This window comes from Homo sapiens, chromosome 15, assembly GCF_000001405.40.
Source record: "Homo sapiens chromosome 15, GRCh38.p14 Primary Assembly".
Taxonomy (NCBI): Eukaryota; Metazoa; Chordata; class Mammalia; order Primates; family Hominidae; genus Homo; species Homo sapiens.
In genome coordinates, this window is record NC_000015.10 from 34,934,432 (window position 1) to 34,953,884 (window position 19,453).

At 38.8% G+C, this 19,453-nt stretch overlaps 1 protein-coding gene and 1 pseudogene across 1 annotated transcript in view; one reads left to right on the forward strand and one right to left on the reverse strand.

Moving 5' to 3' along the window:
• AQR (aquarius intron-binding spliceosomal factor) overlaps nucleotides 1-19,453 on the reverse strand; it is a 117,961-nt gene that overhangs the window by 82,650 nt on the left and 15,858 nt on the right. Inside the window, exons 4-10 of the mRNA NM_014691.3 lie at nucleotides 18,454-18,489; nucleotides 13,833-13,953; nucleotides 9,857-9,997; nucleotides 7,581-7,649; nucleotides 6,468-6,568; nucleotides 4,306-4,382; nucleotides 140-204 (exon numbers count right to left, since the gene is read on the reverse strand). Of these exons, the coding sequence (NP_055506.1) occupies nucleotides 140-204; nucleotides 4,306-4,382; nucleotides 6,468-6,568; nucleotides 7,581-7,649; nucleotides 9,857-9,997; nucleotides 13,833-13,953; nucleotides 18,454-18,489 (610 nt within the window). The remainder of the gene's footprint in view (nucleotides 1-139; nucleotides 205-4,305; nucleotides 4,383-6,467; nucleotides 6,569-7,580; nucleotides 7,650-9,856; nucleotides 9,998-13,832; nucleotides 13,954-18,453; nucleotides 18,490-19,453) is intronic.
• Nucleotides 8,620-9,013, forward strand: RPL36AP8 (ribosomal protein L36a pseudogene 8; annotated as a pseudogene).

Consider the following 19,453-nt stretch of genomic DNA (forward strand, 5'->3'; position numbering starts at 1 on the left):
AGAAATTGAAATATATAATAAATATATACATATGTATTGAAAAGAAAAGGAAAGAAAAAAATACTTCATATATGGTCATATGCTTAATCTTAGACCCCCTAATGATTATATAACAAAAAAGTCACGGTAGATTTCTTACCTCTAGATCAATCATAAGTTCAATGAATCTTTCACAGTAATGAACTTTGTCCATAGTGACAGGTTCTAGACATAAGAGAGAACGCATGATAGAATTTCCTTACTAGGCCATTTTGCATGCTGTTTCTGAAAACTGGCAGTTATTTAATAACTTAAATAAAGTCAATTGTCTTTTATTCATCAGAATTGGACTATGATTTAGAATGAGGATCTCACATATATATTTTTTTAAGGAAGGCCTTACCCTGATACTTAGCTCTACAAATATGAGAAAATAAAAGATCTAGCTTGGGTCAAAAGCACATTTTAAAAATCAGGTTTGCAAAGATATTTTAAAAGTATTAACCTTTAAAAATCTGTATTAAATTAGATTTTGAAAAAACTTAGAGATATAAAAACTAGAAGGCAGTTTTATATCAGGTTTTGCTTCACTTTCCTTATTGTCTTTACATTCTAAACTTCTGAGAGTTTTCTCGTATGTATAAACACACACATACGTATATGTACACACACACACCTTTAAAGTGCACTGAAAATTAGAGAGGTAATTTTTATTATTTTTTTCCACTGTACATGTATTACTTTAACATTAGAATGCCAATGACACAAAGAACAATAAAAATACCTTTTAAATCACTAGCTTATTATATACTATTTATGAGCATAGTATACTATTTTTACAAACATTTATTTTTGTTTTTAAATAATTACAACCTTGGGGCATGAAATATTTTCAGAGTAAAAGCTTTTTTTCTAATGCCAGGAAATGGTCTACCATTTTGCCAACTAAAACCATCCTGTCAAGTTGGTTTCAATTAAAACAAAGATAATTTTAGGTTTCCTGTTGCTACTTAGTTTAAAAACTTACAGCAGTGACTAACACCCAGTGCCAGATCTATAGAAGGCATCCTACAAATGCTTACATAAAAATCCATTTATTTATTTGTAGTGTACAGGAAAACGGAAAGCTTAATGTAAAGCAAGAAATGTGAATACTTTTGTGATTAATATATACAGAAATGTTAACTGGAACTTTTTCAGCTAGCATATGCCCATAATCCAAACCCTGAAATAACAGAAGTATAGAAATTATTAGCTGGAAAAGACCTTTGAGAGCATCTATTCTAGATCTTCATTTTCTAGGTAGAAAAACATGATCAGAGAAAATGACCTGATAAAGGTGTAAAGCTAGAATGGTTGGTTAGAACTGGAACCCTGGTTTTCTGAGACATACATATACAGTCATTTAAAATAACAATTTAAAGGAGCAATTTTTAAATTAAATCCATTCGAACCAACCTTTTGTTGCTATCTTTTGTTCTTGTAACTGTCAAAGGAAAACATTTTTTCCCAAACTAAAAGAGTGAGCAAATTCTGAATTCTGTATCTTTATTTACGTCTTGACAAATTACTGGAAATGGCCTATTTAAAATTAGAAAACAATGCATGGTGCTCTGGTGACTAAAGTTGCATGTTTTTTTATGAGAGCTGGTCCTACTGGGCATGTTGCCTAAGGTAGAAACCTTGCTATCCCAATTTCAGACACAAATATATCCTTATCATTTGTCTCAGCTATACTGTAACTTTTTTTCCCTTCTAACAGCAATCTTAACATCTCAGACTATCCTGCACAGATTTCCAACAACTCATCTGGGCATTCTGTTTTTAATGACCCTATTTTAAAAAGGAAACTACAATCCTTCTCAAAATATTTAAAAAATTAGCCTTCTGTTTCCTAACTACACAACCATCTATCTTCATACCCATTCTGAACTGGCAAATTACTGTCATCATCCTGTTAGTTCCTTTGCCAGCAAGCTGACAAATTTTGATAAAAACTCAAGATTAAGAAATGATGTTTTCTGGCCAGGCGCAGTGGCTCACACCTGAAATCCCAGCACTTTGGGAGGCCGAGGAGGGTGGATCACTTGAGGTCAGGAGTTCAAGACCAGCCTGGCCAACATGGTGAAACCCCATCTCTACTAAGAATACAAAAATTAGCCGGGCATGGTGGTGTGCACCTGTAGTACCAGCTACTTGGGAGGCTGAGGCAGGAGAATCACTTGGACCCAGGAGGCAGAAGTTGCAGTGAGCTGAGATTGTGCCACTGCACTCCAGCCTGGGAGACAGAATGAGACTCCATCTTTAAAAAAAAAAAAAAAGTTGTTTTCTGACAGTATATAAACAATAGCGGCAACAGCAAGTGGTTTATAGGCTGTTAAATTACTGCAGGCCCTATGTTCTTGCTTTTGAAACCTAGACGACCCTAGATAAACATTCCATAGTTAGAGATATCAATTTTTATTACAGACATTAGTTCTATAGACGTTAGTAGCTCAAAGCGCTCAATGTTATTCTTTGTGCCAAGAAAACCCAATCTTAGTCCTCTTTCCAGGTTTGAAGGCACTTAGTGGAAAGATTTAGATATACTAACATTAAGAGACTTAAGATTATAAGCATAAAACGTTTTCTTTCTTTTCTTTTTTGAGACTGAGTTTTGTTCTGTCACCCAGGCTGGAGTGCAGTGGCACAATCTCGGCTCACTGCAAGCTCCACCTCCTGGGTTCACACCATTCTCCTGCCTCAGCCTCCTGAGTAGCTGGGACTACAGGTGCCTGCCACTGCGCCTGGCTAATTTTTTGTCTTTTTAGTAGAAACGGGGTTTCACTGTGGTCTCGATCTCCTGACCTCGTGATCCACCCACCTCAGCCTCCCAAAGTGCTGGGATTACAGGCATGAGCCACTGCGCCCGGCCAAAACATTTTCTTTATACTAATGCTAGTAGTAGTACTGTGCCCTAAGTCAGATACAACTGATTTACTGCATTGGTATCAATTCCTCACTGAATCGTAGCTAAGATTTTCAATTGTAAAATATTACTTGGAGGGTCAGCATTTATAACTCATTCCATTGTGTTTTTTTAAAAGCTGTACTTTCTGATGCAAAAATATAAATATGGTATACCTATATAAATATGGTATACCTATAGAGCTGTTCTTAGATTATATTCCACTTAAAAATATTAAACAATTGGCCAAGCGTGGTGGCTCACGCCTGTGATCCCAGCGCTTTGGGAGGCCGAGGCAGGCAGACTGCCTGAGGTCAGGAGTTCGAGACCAGCCTGGCCAACATGGTAAAACCTCGTCTCTACTAAAAATACAAAAATTAGCCGGGCGTGGTGGCACACGCCTGTAACTCCAGCTACTCAGGAGGCTGAGGCAGGAGAATTGCTTGATCCCAGGAGACGGAGGTTGCAGTGAGCCAAGATTGTGCCACTGCACTCCATCCTGGCTGACAGAGTGACACTCTGTCTCAAAAAAAAATAATAATAATTAAACAATTATATTTTAATTATATTTTATAATTTTAATATAGTATATATATATACTTACTTTTTAAATCAGTAAATGGAGCTATGATGGAGGAAAATCCTTCTATTTAGTCTTTTAGCTCATATCTCAGTAATATTTCTCCTTTTTTCCTCCAACGGTATCAATAGGACTTAAAAACACTATTCAGCACCATATTATAAATAACATGCAAATATGGTCTGTAATTTTCCTCTTCACAACTGTATCCCAGCACCTTAGACAGGACCTGGATCTAGTAATTAGGTGATAAAAAATTTGCTACATAAAGGAATATTTCAATAACCACACTGGTGCCTTTAAAATAACCCTTAGGCCAGGTGCAGTGGCTCACGCCTGTAATCCCAGCACTTTGAGAGGCTGAGGTGGATGGATCACTTGAGGTCAGGAGTTTGAGACCAGCCTGGCCAACATGGAGAAACCCCGTCTCTACCAAAAATACAAAACTAACTGGGCATGGTGGTGCATCCCTGTAATCCCAGCTACTCGGGAGGCTGAGGCAGGAGAATCACTGGAACCCTGCTGGGGGAGGTTGCAGTGAGCCGAGATCATGCCACTGCACTCTAGCCTGGGTGACAGAGCAACACTCTGTCTCAAAAAATAAATAAATAAAATAAAATAACCCTTAAAGGCAGTCCCAATACTCACACTGGTAATGTATTTAAAAAGGAGAGGACATACACTTTGCCAATACAATTTAAAATCATTCCAAGAACAGTTTTTAGATTAGAGATGAGTAAATACCATAGGGGCAGCTATATGATAATTTCACAAATGCACTGAGTAAAAAAGAAGATACCAGAAAGTGGGACTGATTTCAGCACAGAGATAAACTTCTGGATGAGTTGTGAAAGAAATCTCCTCTCTTGATATGCCCTAAAATCAGAAAGAACATTGACCAATTATTTTTGAAGAATAGTCATTTCAAAAGTAAACTTTAAATGTTGACCACGGCTTTCCAATATTGTTCAACTGTTCATTTCTTTGTGAAGCTGGGACTATAACTTCAATATACAGCTTCTTCTTTCTATGTAAATACAGTGCTATATGAAGAAAAGGAGAGTCACATTACTGACCTAATAAGCCACCTAAGCAAGCACCTCCTTCTCTCACCGTGAACGTTTTCTTTTTTCTGCTTTTTTTGTTTTTGAGGTGGAATCTCGCTCTGTTGCCCAGGCTGGAGTGCAGTGGCGCGATTTCAGCTCACTGCAACCTCTGCCTCCCAGGTTGAAGCAACTCTCTTGCCTCAGCCTCTCGAGTAGCTGGGATGACAGGCGCCTGCCACCATGCCTGGCTAATTTTTGTATTTTCAGTAGAGATGCGGTTCCACCATCTTGGCCAGGGTGTTCTTGAACTCCTGACCTTGTGGTCCACCCGCCTCGGCCTCCCAAAGTGCTGGGATTACAGGCATGAGCCATGGCGCCCAGCCTGAGACACAGCTCCCAGCCAAACATTTTCATTTGTGATTTACAAGTCAGACCGAGAAAGAAGTTTCAAAATTCCATTTATAGTCTGCCCTTACCATTAAAAATCTCACATTTAATGTAGTTAAAATGAGATGAACAATATTATATTTTAACGTTTAAGTATAATAGAGTATTACAATAGCTAAAGATCAAATGTTTAAAAAATAATTTTCTATTCATTACTACTTTAAGATATATCCATTAATGAACAGACATGTATCAAGTATCGTACAGCTGTAAATGCTTGTAACAGTCCTGCTGGAAATACAAAGAAGGGGAACGGCTAAAATCTACTTGCAATAACAAGTCATATATTATAAACACAATTAGTAATACATGCCAGTATGTGATTAATAAAACTGCCTGACATTAATTAAGCACGCATTTTGCCAGGATCTGAGCTATGCTAAACACTTCACATCTTATTTAATATTGATAACAGTCCTCGGAAATGGGTACTACTGTCCAGATTTCACAATGAGGCTTAGAGGTGAAGTAACTTGCCCAAAGTCATACAGCAATTGAGTGTGGAATCTAGCTAAGTCTGATTGTAGAACCTACATCCTCAACTACTATACATATCCCAATCATTACATAAACAGCTGGTGTTTCAAAAAAAAATCACAGAGCATGTGTTCTAGGAGTTCAGATGAAAGCACTATGATCTAAAGTAGTTGGTCTGGAAGAGTGTTTATATGGTTAATATTCAATTAAGTGGAGTGAAGAGGAAAGGGACTTAGGAAAGAAATGCTAAAGAAGCAATGACTAGAGTAGTCCAGTGATTTGCAAGAGTCACAAGAAACAGCTGCAAGCTTCTGAAAACCTTGTAAGAAGTTTAGAGTTAGGCTGGGTGCAGTGGCTCACGCCTGTAATCCCCAGCACTTTAGGAGGCCGAGGCAGGCGGATCACCTAAGGTCGGGAGTTTGAGACCAGCCTGACCAACATGGAGAAACCCTGTCTCTATTAAAAATACAAAATTAGCCAGGCGTGGTGGCGCATGCCTGTAATCCCCTCTACTCAGAGGCTGGGGCAAGAGAAATCGCTTGAATCTGGGAGGCAGAGGTTGCAGTGAGCCACAGTCGCACTATTGCACTCCAGCCTGGGCAACAAGAGCGAAACTCCGTCTCAAAAAAATAAAAAAAGAGTGAAGGAGTAAGAAAAAGAAAGAGAAGTTATATTAATAGCCTGAAGATAGTGGAGAAAATTGAGAACCATCCATGAGGGAGACGGACAATAGGCAGGGAGAAAAACAGTGGGTCAACTATATATACTTAGCAGCACAGAAAGAAGGAAAAGAAGAAAAGCATGATGCTCTGGCTTCTGCTTTAGATCTTTGTGGAAAATATTCTTAATGACAGTCTAGGTAAAAGCACTTATTATAATAATTTATTTGCACTCAGCACTATATAAAGGGAAACAACAAACCAGTCAACATCATCTAAGGTCCACAATCCAGCATAATAAGCCAACATGAAATGAAGCTCTGCCAACATACTGTTCTCTTGCTTCTGGATCCATCTTTTCATCATTCTTTTTAATCAAGTTCCAGAATTTTCTTAGCTTAGGTGTCTTTTTTAATTCTAATTCCAATCGTGCCTGAAGAAGAGATGTGTTATTAAATTACCAGTAGCCTCAAAGTTTACAAGGATAAGGATTAGATCAACTATTTGCTAGTTTTCTAATATATGAGTACAAAATAGAGCAATCTGATAAAACCTGAAAATAACATGACAAACCCTGAAAATTAAGAAATGAATAACGATATTTTAAAAAATTATTCAACTCTAGCTCTTGTTAATAAAAATACAAATCAAGATTGTAAGCTCAATAATCAATTAATTTTTTATTTCAAAACTTAAAGAGCTAAGTCTGAAAAATATATGCATCAACACTTAGCATAATCACTAAGGTTTGAAAAATATGAGTCTGAAACAATGCACAAAAAACAGCGATCACAAGTAAATAAGGAAATGTCCACATCAGCATATTCTCTCTTATAGCACTTGCCACTTTTTAACTTAGTATTAATTATTTATACGTGCCTTATGTTTTCATCCCCATCAACTGGTGCTTATAAATGAGTCTGCATATCTGAGTATATGCAGAAACACCCATGTGCAGGAAGGGAAATTCTGAATAAAGCATTACAATGAAATCTGATAGTTTTAACTAAACTACCTAAGATGTATTAATTTGGCTTTGGTACCTGCACATATTACCCAATAAAGACTTTATGGAAAAATGGAAGTCATTAATATTAGGTATGATCCAGATCTTCTCCTACAGCTATATATATACTCTAATCAAGGAAAAAAAAATTCAAGTCCACATTTAGTCTCATCTATACTTTGCTAAATTAACCCCCTTTCTCTATAAGCTCAATAGATACTACCTTATTCATTTTATATTACTAAAATTAAGTTAAACATCGAATGCATATAAAAACTTTAAAATAAAAACTATATCTATGAAAAGTTAAGCAAAGTGGCTTTTCTAAGAAAAGGGGTATTTAGCTACCACTTGTATATCCAGATTAAGGCTATAGACTAAAACCACACGTTCTACTTATAACACATACATTCATAAGACTCTGAAATTAGAGACTTACCAGCTGTAAGCCCATCCACATTGGGAGGGAGATAAGCTGCTGTACTTGACTTCGTATCAAGTCTACTTCCTGTTTAGGGCATGAAGAAAATAAGTTTATAAACATACCAGCATTTCTACCTAAGTCTTTACATAAGAAGTATACTGCCTTTTTAAGTCCTGGAGGGAAAACATGCCACAAATATTTTCAAGTTAATATTTTGATATTAAGAAGTTCAATGCTTTAAAAAAGACTCCATCCTTATTATCTACAGATTTTGTACTTGCAAATTCATATACTAATAAAAATGTATTTGTAACCCCAAAATCAACACTCCATGTGCTTTCACAGTCATCCAGATGGCCCAAACAAAAATCTGAGTTGTCCGACGTGCACATTCTCAGGTGAGACTGAGCTGATGCTCTGCTTCATTCTCAGCTCTCATACTGTAAGAAACAAGTATCCTTTTTGTGGTCTATTGAGTACTATTTTTTTTGGCACGCTTGTGCTTTTTGATGATTTCGCTGTTTAAAATGGCAACAAGCCCAAGGCTGAAGTGCTGTCTGATGTTCATGGGTGCAAGAAGGCTGTGATATGTCTTACAGAGTAAATACGTATGTTAGATAAGCTTCGTTCAGGCATAATTACAGTGCTGTTGGCAGTGAGTTCATGGTTAATGAATCAATAATATACAATAAATAAGCTGTCTTTAAATAGAAACACACATAAAATAAGGCTATGTATTGATAGTTTGTAAAATGTCATGACCAAGGCTTGCAGGAACCTAACCCTGTATTTCCCCAAGGAGTAATGGTTCAGCATTAGCTCATTCAATGTTCATAGCTACTTTATAAAATGAACATAACTACCTCAAATAAGAACTGACTGCATATTTTAAAAGATAAAGCATTTCAATAATAAACTAGTTTGGTAAGTTGGCTAAAACTATCACCAAATTACTAATACTAATAAAATCTTGTTTCTGTTTAGTTTCTGATAAAAAAATCACATCTATTTATATTTCTATTTGTTCTGTTTAGTTTAATAAATGTTAAAGAGGCTTTCTGTGCCGATAACGCTCACGCAAGCATGGTTAACGTCCCTAAAACCCGCCGGACTTTCTGTAAGAAGTGTGGCAAGCACCAACCCCATAAAGTGACACAGTACAAGAAGGGCAAGGATTCTCTGTATGCCCAGGGAAAGCGGCGTTATGACAGGAAGCAGAGTGGCTATGGTGGGCAAACTAAGCCAATTTTCTGGAAAAAGGCTAAAACTACAAAGATTGTGCTAAGGCTTGAGTGCATTGAGCCCAACTGCAGATCTAAGAGAATGCTGGCTATTAAAAGATGCAAGCATTTTGAACTGGGAGGAGATAAGAAGAGAAAGGGCCAAGTGATTCAGTTCTAAGTGTCATCTTTTATTATGAAGACAATAAAATCTTGAGTTTATGTTCAAAATAAATAAATAAATAAATAAATAAATAAATAAATAAAAATAAATGTTAAAGAGATAACAGTGGTATCCAGTGCAGGCATCATAAATCTTTTTTTATGCCTTTAAAAGATCCATGTGAGATAGTACATGGAAACAGGTAATAATCATCCATCTATTAACACTCAGTCTTCAGAATAAGAAAGAACTCCATGCATTCCTCCTGCATGGGTGTAAGTGAATTATCAATTCAGAGGCACTAAATAAATATGTGTATTTATCAGCTAACCACACAGGAAAGCTCAAATAAAATATTACTGAAAATATTTAATTTTTTAGAAGATAATCTTATGAAGGATGAAAATGTATCACACACAAGACATTTTCAAAGATCATTTACACTTGGCCTTTATCAGTCAACTCAAAATACAACTCTCCTGTTGACTAACCAGCCTATGCATAAGGCATGATGAAAAGCAATGAAACTACATTCCTGTATGTATATGCAGTTTGTGGCACAGATCTCATTACTCCAATTCCATATAACCAGTCTCCTTGCTGCTTCTCATTTTTGTGCTCTCCCTTTAGAGTTTCAGTTCTTATAATCATTTTTCTTAAGAGTCTAGATAGAAAAAATTAAGTATCAATTTCAAATCTATTAAAAAGTGAACATATCTTATAAAAACATATCTTAAAGACTTATAAAATGGTTTTACTGATAAGTGGCTGAAATCAAGCTTTTAGCATTATCCTTATTGCCTGCTATTATGGATGAATGGAGTTGGCTACAGAGGTAATTTCATCTAAACTCAACCTAAAAGAACAAGAAAACTTGAAAATTACCCCAAAATATAAAGTAAAAGTACCAAACTATTGAAGCAATGATCAAGAAAAAGTAGTAAGACTGTCTGTTCATGAAGTGAAAATTCACCATCAGTTTCAGCTAATGCCGCCTTCAAGATGTGTTTAAAAAAGAATGGGAAGTGGTCTGGCTTCTTCTTAAAAATCTGAAAAGAAACAGAATAAAATTCATTTTGTATTGGCTTGCTCACTTAAGCTTTAAAGAAGCCCTAGTAGGCTTTTTAGCAGTCTATTAAAAAAACCAAATAATTACAAAAGGGTTATTTGTATATGTATAAAAGAAGCATCACGTGCTTACTTATAATTAATGGCAAGTCAAATACAGGTTTCTGACAGGACTATGAGAGAGCTGCAGAACCCTTTAGCTAATAAAATAATGGCTTTCATTTCTTTAGTTTTTCCTCTGTGGATTATGCCTGTATTTAGCTTAGGCTTTGTTTTCTTATTAAGGATCTGAAGTGTTTTAATTTCTCTGATTTAAACAAAAGAAACTACATCTTTAGCAAAAATTGTAGTTTTCACACTGTAATTAATCTCAAGAACAGCCCCTCCTGCTTTATATTAGCTCTTTACTCTTAACTTGTAAATAATGTAAATATATTCAAGCCTCTTTGACCTACCTCTGTTTCTAGTTACTGCCACAGACAAATGCTCCAAGCGTGTGGTCTATACTAGTTGTTTTCATTCACTTCTCTAAGACAAGCTCTCCTGAAGCTGTATGGCTGTCAAGTCCTATGGACCCTTATTAACTCTCAACTCCTTTTCACCATATTGAAGGCTCTTCTTCTTTTGCCTGTTATCTAAACCGCAATATTCGTAGGGTTCTAGCCTCATTCTTCTCCCTCTATTACTTCAACCACTAAATACCAATGATTCCAAATATACATCTGCAGTCCAGATTTCTCTTCTGAGCTCTCAAACCTTAGATTCCTCTACTAGATGACTTAATCTAGATATTCCAAAGGCAATTTAAACTGAATATGTCCAAATTCAATTCAACAGTTTTGTATCCTCCAAATTATTCCTCACTCTCTATTACCTATCTTGGTAAATGGCACCATCATATATTATATTCATTTGCCCAAGCCTGGAAGGTTATTGAAAATAACACCCTTTCCTAATGCTACTTCAACTGATTATCAAATTCAATCAATTCTACCTTCTACATCTCTGTATATCCTCTAAATCTGTATTATCATTTCTCTATTTCAAGGCCTAATCACCAAAGTGATCTTTATAACAGGTAAACTGACCAGGTTATTCCCTGGCTCAAAAAATTTTCCTTCTTCCTTTCTGTATTTCTATAATAGCTTGAAGCAACTTGAAGAAACCCCTAGGCTCTCTTGATAGTGACATAAAACCCATAGTTTATTCTGAGCTCTAATGTGCCCTGAGATGGTAGTCATTTAATGAATATTTGAGATAAGTGTCCATGGTTTTATCTTAAAGACTCTATCACCTTTTCACTTTGGTGACCATTTACTCAAAACAGATGACAGGCATCCATTCCTTTTTTTCATTTAAAAAAGTCTGACTGGAAGAGAAGAAACTCTTGATGAAGTGACCATTATATGGCGGGCAAAGAAAACAAAGATTTTGGATCCCTACTGATCAAGCTTCTGTTGCACCAGCACAAAAAGGAAACATCAGTGCATTAGAAATTTCTAAAAGGAAAAATAGATCCCAAATCAAGGACAAAAAGAACAGGCCAGGCACAGTGACTCATGCCTGTAATCCCAGCACTTTGGGAGGCCGAGGCGGGTGGATCATCTAAGGTCAGGAGTTTGAGACCAGCCTGGCCAATATGGTGAAACCCCATCTCTACTAAAAATACAACAATTAGCTGGGCATGGTGGCGGGCACCTGTAATCCCAGCTTCTTGGGAGGCAGAGGCAGGAGAATTGCTGGAACCTGGGAGGCAGATGTTGCAGTGAGCTGAGATCACGCCATTTGCACTCCAGCCTGGATAACAAGAGCTAAATTCAGTCTCAAAACAAAAAACCAAAAGAACATTGAAATTATAATGTAAGCATCTGTCTTGACTTTGGTAACTTTTTTTATTCATGTAAAACTACAAATATAAACTCCCTCTTGAGGTCGGGGGGGTCAGCCCCCCGCCCGGCCAGCCGCCCCGTCCGGGAGGGAGGTGGGGGGGGTCAGCCCCCCGCCCGGCCAGCCGCCCCGTCCAGGAGGGAGGTGGGGGGGTCAGCCCCCCGCCCGGCCAGCCGCCCCGTCCGGGAGGGAGGTGAGGGGGTCAGCCCCCCGCCTGGCCAGCCGCCCCGTCCGGGAGGGAGGTGGGGGGGGTCAGCCCCCAGCCCGGCCAGCCGCCCCATCCGGGAGGTGAGGGGCGCCTCTGCCTGGCCGCCCCTACTGGAAAGTGAGGAGCCCCTCTGCCCGGCCAGCCGCCCGTCCGGGAGGGAGGTGGGGGGGTCAGCCCCCCACCCGGCCAGCCGCCCCGTCCGGGAGGGAGGGAGGTGGGGGGGTCAGCCCCCCGCCCGGCCAGCTGCCCCGTCCGGGAAGTGAGGGGCGTCTCTGCCCGGCCGCCCCTACTGGGAAGTGAGGAGCCCCTCTGCCCAGCCAGCCGCCCCGTCCGGGAGGGAGGTGGGGGGGGTCAGCCCCCCGTCCGGCCAGCCGCCCCATCCGGGAGGTGAGGGGCGCCTCTGCCCGGCCGCGCCTACTGGGAAGTGAGGAGCCCCTCTGCCCGGCCACCACCCCGTCTGGGAGGTGTGCCCAACAGCTCATTGAGAACGGGCCATGATGACAATGGCGGTTTTGTAGAATAGAAAGAGGGGAAAGGTGGGGAAAAGATTGAGAAATCGGATGGTTGCCGTGTCTGTGTAGAAAGAGGTAGACATGGGAGACTTTTCATTTTGTTCTGTACTAAGAAAAATTCTTCTGCCTTGGGATCCTGTTGATCGGTGACCTTACCCCCAACCCTGTGCTCTGTGAAACATGTGCTGTATCCACTCAGGGTTGAATGGATTAAGGGCGGTGCAAGATGTGCTTTGTTAAACAGATGCTTGAAGGCAGCATGCTCGTTAAGAGTCATCACCACTCCCTAATCTCAAGTACCCAGGGACACAAACACTGCGGAAGGCCACAGGGTCCTCTGCCTAGGAAAACCAGAGACCTTTGTTCACTTGTTTATCTGCTGACCTTCCCTCCACTATTGTCCTGTGACCCTGCCAAATCCCCCTCTGCGAGAAACACCCAAGAATGATCAATAAAAAAAATAATAATAATAATAATAATAATAAAATAAATAAAAATAAAAATAAGACAAAAAAAATAAAAATAAACTCCCTCTTGTGAAAAAAGACACTGAAAAATATCTCATTTGAACATTATATACTTGTGCTTTTTTTTCTTCTTCTTAGAGACAGGCCTCGCTCTGTTACCCAGGCTGGAGTGTTGTGGTGCAATCATAGTTCATTGCAGCCTCGAACTCCTGGGCTCAAGTGGTCCTCTTGCATCAATCTCCCAAGTAGCTGGGACTACAGACTCATGCCACCATGCCTGGCTAATTTTTTCTTTTTTTAAAGAAACAAGTTTTTGCTTTGTTGCCCAGGCTGGTCTTGAACTCCTGGCTTCGAGCAATCCTCCCACCTCAGCTTTCCAAGTGCAGGATTATAGGCATGAGTGACAGCACTCAGCCTATTTGTACTTATTAATATAATTTCCATTTTGCCAGCTCCTGATGTAAGTTGTTATAACATATACCATTCTTTGTTTCAAACACAAAGCAGAAAAATAACTCACATTCATAAATTTTCAATTCATAGTAAATTATTAAATCGTTTGAAGAAAGTATTGAAACCAAAAGAAAACATATCTTTCACATACCCATTCTTTTTCTCAATATTTGCTTTATTACTGGGTAAAGTTCTGCTCTAAAAGCACCACTATCAGTAAAAGTTCTGCCACTTTGTAATGGCTTATGTGGGTCAGTATGAAAGCTATGAAGTACTTTAAATCAGTTACCTCCCATGCAGGCACGTTTTCTCTAAACTTCTCATTCACCATACAGCAGATTGACATTAAATAGGCCTTGCTAGATACCTCAGGAGAATAATTCATCCAGAGATAATTTTCAAGATACTGGCTGTAAAGAGTAAAAAGCATAGAATACTTCATTAGTTACCACCACTCACTGTAATACATAACTCACCCAGAAAAGCATAATTATTTACAACTTTCTGAAAATATTTTGGAAATCTCTATTTATAACTTGGAATCCTTGGCTGGGTGTGGTAGCTCATGCCTGTAATCCCAGCACTTTGGGAGGCCGAGACGGGTGGAGGTCAACTCCTGACTTGAGGTCAGGAGTTGTGATATGGTGAAACCCCATCTCTACTAAAAATACAAAAATTAGCTGGGTATGGTGGCACACGCCTGTAATCCCAGCTACTCAGGGGGCTGAGGCAGGAGAATCACTTGAACCCGGGAAGAAGATGCAGTGAGCTGAGATTGCGCCACTACACTCCAGCCTGGCCAACAGAGCTAGACTCCATCTCAAAAAAAAAAAAAAAAACTTGGAATCCTCCACAAATTTACCTGCAGTCTAGGTCACTGCTACCAGCTACAAATTTATATATAGAAAATACAGCTTTGGAGAATGACAGTCCTATAAATTCAAATAAAAAGGTATCAAACGTTGCCAACATACATAATTATCACCACCAAACCACCGGATATTCCCTTACTTAAGGCTTTTTTTTTGTTTTTTTGAGACGGAGTTTTGCTCTTGTGGCCCAGACTGGAGTACAATGGCGTAATCTTGGCTCACAGCAACCTCCACCTCCCGGATTCAAGCAATTCTCCTGCCTCTGCCTCCTGAGTAGCTGGGATTACAAGAATGTGCCACCACGCCCGGCTAATTTTTTGTATTTTTAGTAGAGACGGGGTTTCTCCATGTTGGTCAGGCTGGTCTTGAACTCCCAACCTCAGGATCGATCCACCCACCTCAGCCTCCCAAAGTGCTGGGATTACAGGCATGAGCCACTACACTGGGCCTTTAACTTTAAGGCTCTTCTTAAAGTAAAAGTTGGCCAGGCACAGTGGCTCACGCCTGCAATCCCAGCACTTTGGGAGGCCGAGGCAGGCAGATCATGAGGTCAAGAGATCGAGACCATCCTGGCCAACATGGTGAAACCCCATCTCTACTAAAAATACAAAAATTAGCTGGGCATGGTGGCGTGTGCCTATAGTCCCAGCTACTCAGGAGGCTGAGGCAGGAGAATCACTTGAACCCGGGAGGCGGAGATTGCAGTGAGCCAACATCGCGCCACTGCACTCCAGCCTGGCAACAGTGAGACTCCGTCACAAAAAAAAAAAAAAAAAAAAAAGGAAAACCCAAAAATACCTGACAAACATCAGTTCTAAAACAAAATGAGGCCAGGTGTGGTGGCTGACACCTGTAATCCCAGTACTTTGGGAGGCCAAAGTGGGTGGACTGCTTGAGCCCAGGAGTTTGAGACCAGCCTGGGCAACATAGTGAGACCTTATCTCTATTAAAAAAAAAAAAAAAAAAACCACTAGCCAGGTGTAATGGTGCACACCTGTGGTCCCAACTACTCAGGAGGCTGAGGTAGGAGGATCACTTGGGCCTAGGGGGTTGAGGTTGCAGTGAGCCATGACTGTGCCACTGTACTCCAATGTGGGCAACAGAGTGAGACCCCATCTCCAAAACTAAAAAAAAAAAAAAAAATCTTCTGAAACTCCTACTAAGCCTTCTCATTCTAGCCTCCACATACCTTATTTTCCTTTCGTATTTTTCATTTTTACTTCTCTTTGCTATTTTCCTTTTTTTTTTTTTTTTTTTTTTTTGAGATGGAGTCTCACTCTGTTGCCAGGCTGGAGTGCAATGGCATAATCCCGGCTCACTGCAACCTCTGCCTCCTGGGTTCAAGCAATTCTCCTGCCTCAGCCTCCTGAGTAGCTGAGATTACAGGCATGTGCCACCACACCCAGCTAATTTTTGTATTTTTAGTAGAGACAGGGTTTCACCATGTTGGCCAGTATGGTCTCGATCTCTTGACCTTGTGATCCACCCGCCTTGGCCTCCCAAAGTGCTGGGATTACAGGTGTAAGCCACCACTCCCGGCCCTCTTTGCTATTTTCTAGTTAATTCTCTCAGATCTATTTTCTAGTTCATTCCCTCAGATCTATTTTCTAGTTCATTAATTCCTTCTTTACCTGCGTCTAACATGTTATTTATTTTGCTAATTGAGTTTTTAAATTTCAGTGATTTTTTATCTCCATTTCCCTCCCCCACGTCTATCCATTTTTAGTATCTTGTTTCTTTCTCACATATTATATTTCTTCTCTTATGCCAATAATAATTTTAAACATAATGACTTGACAGTGTGTATCAATTATTTAATTATCTGAAGTTCTTGGTGGTGGGGGCAGGGGGGAAATATTTGTTCTCTGCTGTTCACTCTTGCTTATAGTAGAGAATATTACCCTAATGTGCTCTGTAATTTGGGAGTATAAACTCACCTTTACCAAGGTTTTATTTATAGAGTTTTCTGCAGTATAGTTGGAATACATATGCTTCCAGAGTATCTTTATAACTGTTTCTGCCAGATGTCCCACAGATGTCACTGGCTTGCCACAGTTTTTAAGAGTAAAGTCTTATCTTGGGTGTTATCTGACTACACAGCAAATTCCAAACCTATCTTAAAATCTCTTAGATGAGAAAACTGAGGTAATGAGAGTCAATGATTTGCCTGATTACACAGGTATGGTCCTGACTCCAAACTACATCTCTTTTCTTCAGACTTAAGGATTTGTTCAATAACTTCCTGATCCTATTTCAGCAATTGCAGCAAATTCTATACAATACTGATATAAAATAATGCCTTCCTCTAATGATTTTCATCCATGGAAACCCTTTTCTCAGTTCACTTCCCTATATCCAGCTACCTTCTCCATGCCATCTTACTTTCCAGTTTAGCAAGAAACCATCAATTACTCTCTACAACAAACTTTAGACTGGTTATGTTTGGAAGTTGGCCCAGGGAAAATGATATTGTCACATAAAATTAAATAAGAGTTCCTGAAAGGTAACAACTGACTTTTTCAGCTATTAAAAATTTTTCACTGTCAGCTGGGTGCGGTGGCTCATGCCTGTAATCCCAGCACTTTAGGAAGCCGAGGCAGGCAATCACAAGTTCAAGAAATCGAGACCATCCTGGCCAACATGGTGAAACCTCGTCTCTACTAAAAATACAAAAATTAGCCAGGCGTGATGGCGCACACCTGTAATCCCAGCTACTCAGGAGGCTGAGGCAGGAGAATCGCTTCTACCCGGGAAGTGGAGGTTGCAGTGAGCCGAGATCGTGCCACTGCACTCCAGCCTGGCAACAGAGCGAGACTGTCTCAAAAAAAAAAAAAAAAAAAAATTCACTGTCATTGATGCTTTCAATCTGTTTTGTTGCTTTCTCCTTCAGTTCCTGCCATTCTCTTGGTTTCTGGACTCTAGAATTCTGGTTAATTCTAACTGCATATTGGTAGCCTCTTGATTTTAATCTGTCTTCTTGAAAGGAGGCACGATATGATGGAAAGAGCATATTTATCTCAGGGCGAGATGGGTCCAGTTTCTAGCCTCAGTTTTCTCCCCTACAAAATAAGGAAGATCTTACTGGTGTTGTTGTCAGGATTAAATAAGATCATTTAATAATAATACAGTCCTTAGGATACAGGAGGCACTCAACTTACTAGTTAATTCATAATAATAAATTTCAATTTCCCTCTAGAAAAACGATAAGACCATCTACTTCATGTCATTTTTTTTGTAAGGATCAAATGTGTATGTAGGAGTAACAATTATTAACACAGAGGCCCTGACCTCTGATGTAAACCAGATGTCAAGGAAGTGTAGAGAAGTGGAAAACCATGAGCTTTGGCATCAGACATTGGTATCCCAGCTCTGCCAATTACTTAGAGCAAAGAATTTAACCTCTCTGATCTCAGCTTCTGTTTCCAGTAAATACAGAGGATAGTACTTACTTCACAGGATTGTTGTGAGTACTCTGTATGTAAAATGCTTAACACTGTGGTGAGCACAAAACTGGTGTTCTGTTTGAGAAATGGTAAATGTAACTATCATCAACAACAATCCTGGCTCTTATTTTCAGCATACTGGCTACATCTGGTTGCAACATAATCTAATCTACCTTTGCAATCTAAAAATCATACATTATCTTTTGTCTGAAATATTTATATTACTAGTAGCTAGACTGGAACAATGTTACCTTGATGATAACATTTTAGCTTGGCAGGGAGAAAAAGTGGCTATAGAACACACTCTAATTTATTTCCACTGATCACTACAGAAACCAAGTTTGAGTTCAGAAATTATTCACCACATGCTAGCTTAACAAGTAAGAAACAAATCAAAACACAAGCTATTCTGGCAATGGGCCATCATCTTTGAAAACAAAGGCTATCATATACATATTCCAAAATAAGCCAATCACAGAAATATAAATCTTCACAAATTTAGATTTTCTTAGTGACTCACAGAAATAACACAGAAAATTTAGCTAAAACTGAAATCACATTATCTCTTTCATCAATGGAATGCCTTATAACTTACCTAAATTCCAAGAGCATTATCTTTCTAATAGCAAACCTGAAAACATAAAAATAAATAAAATGTTTAAAATAGAGAATACAAACGTTTCAGAGTTATTAACACAAATGCATTTAGGGATGTTTTGTTTCCATATTAACCCATCTATCAAAATTCATAATATCAGATCACAACTTCTAATGTCAGTTCAACTTCTTAAGCACTGACCAACATGTTTTCATTTAATACTCAAATGGAAACACTTTGCTAGAGTCATGCCTTCCTAAAAGCACGCAGGACACATATCTATATTGCAAATGTGAAAATCAGACGTTTCACTTGCTTCTTAGTGTTGACAGTGAGCTTAAAATACTAAAATATTGTGGAGGAAATATCAGATATTTGTCTTTAATATACTGTCTTTTTTAAATAGAATTACTTTGTTTTATATGAATAAACAATGATATAGTCATGTTTGTCCCAAACATACTTACGCTGTCCCGAAGCAGACACAAATGGCCACTAATTTAGCTTTATCGTTTTATAATATTGGAAATAGATCAGAACACTGTCACTAGATAATTGTTTCCAGCTTTGAAAATTAAAAATACATGTATTATGAATTTATAATGCCCCAGGAAACCACTATCCTGTCAAAAATCCTATTCCACTGATTTCTGATCTCTTACATAGTTTCACTGAGCATGCAATGTCACAAAACTTTAGTGAGAATGAAATGAAGGTTTTTACTATGCAAAAGACAGAATATTGCCAAAGTACTGGCTTCTACAGGCAGCCAAGATGCTAAGTGGATAGGCCATCTTGAGTGACACACTCTAAATCTCCAACTGCAGACATTTCACTTGAATTAACTGTATGTTAGACAACAGAATTCACTCACTGCCCACTATACACAAAACTCTACATTAAATTTCTTCAGTCACAAATAGGACCTCATGATAAAAGACAGAAAATCCTGGCTCATAAGATAGAATACCAGTGTTCTAGTAATGACTCAGTGTTA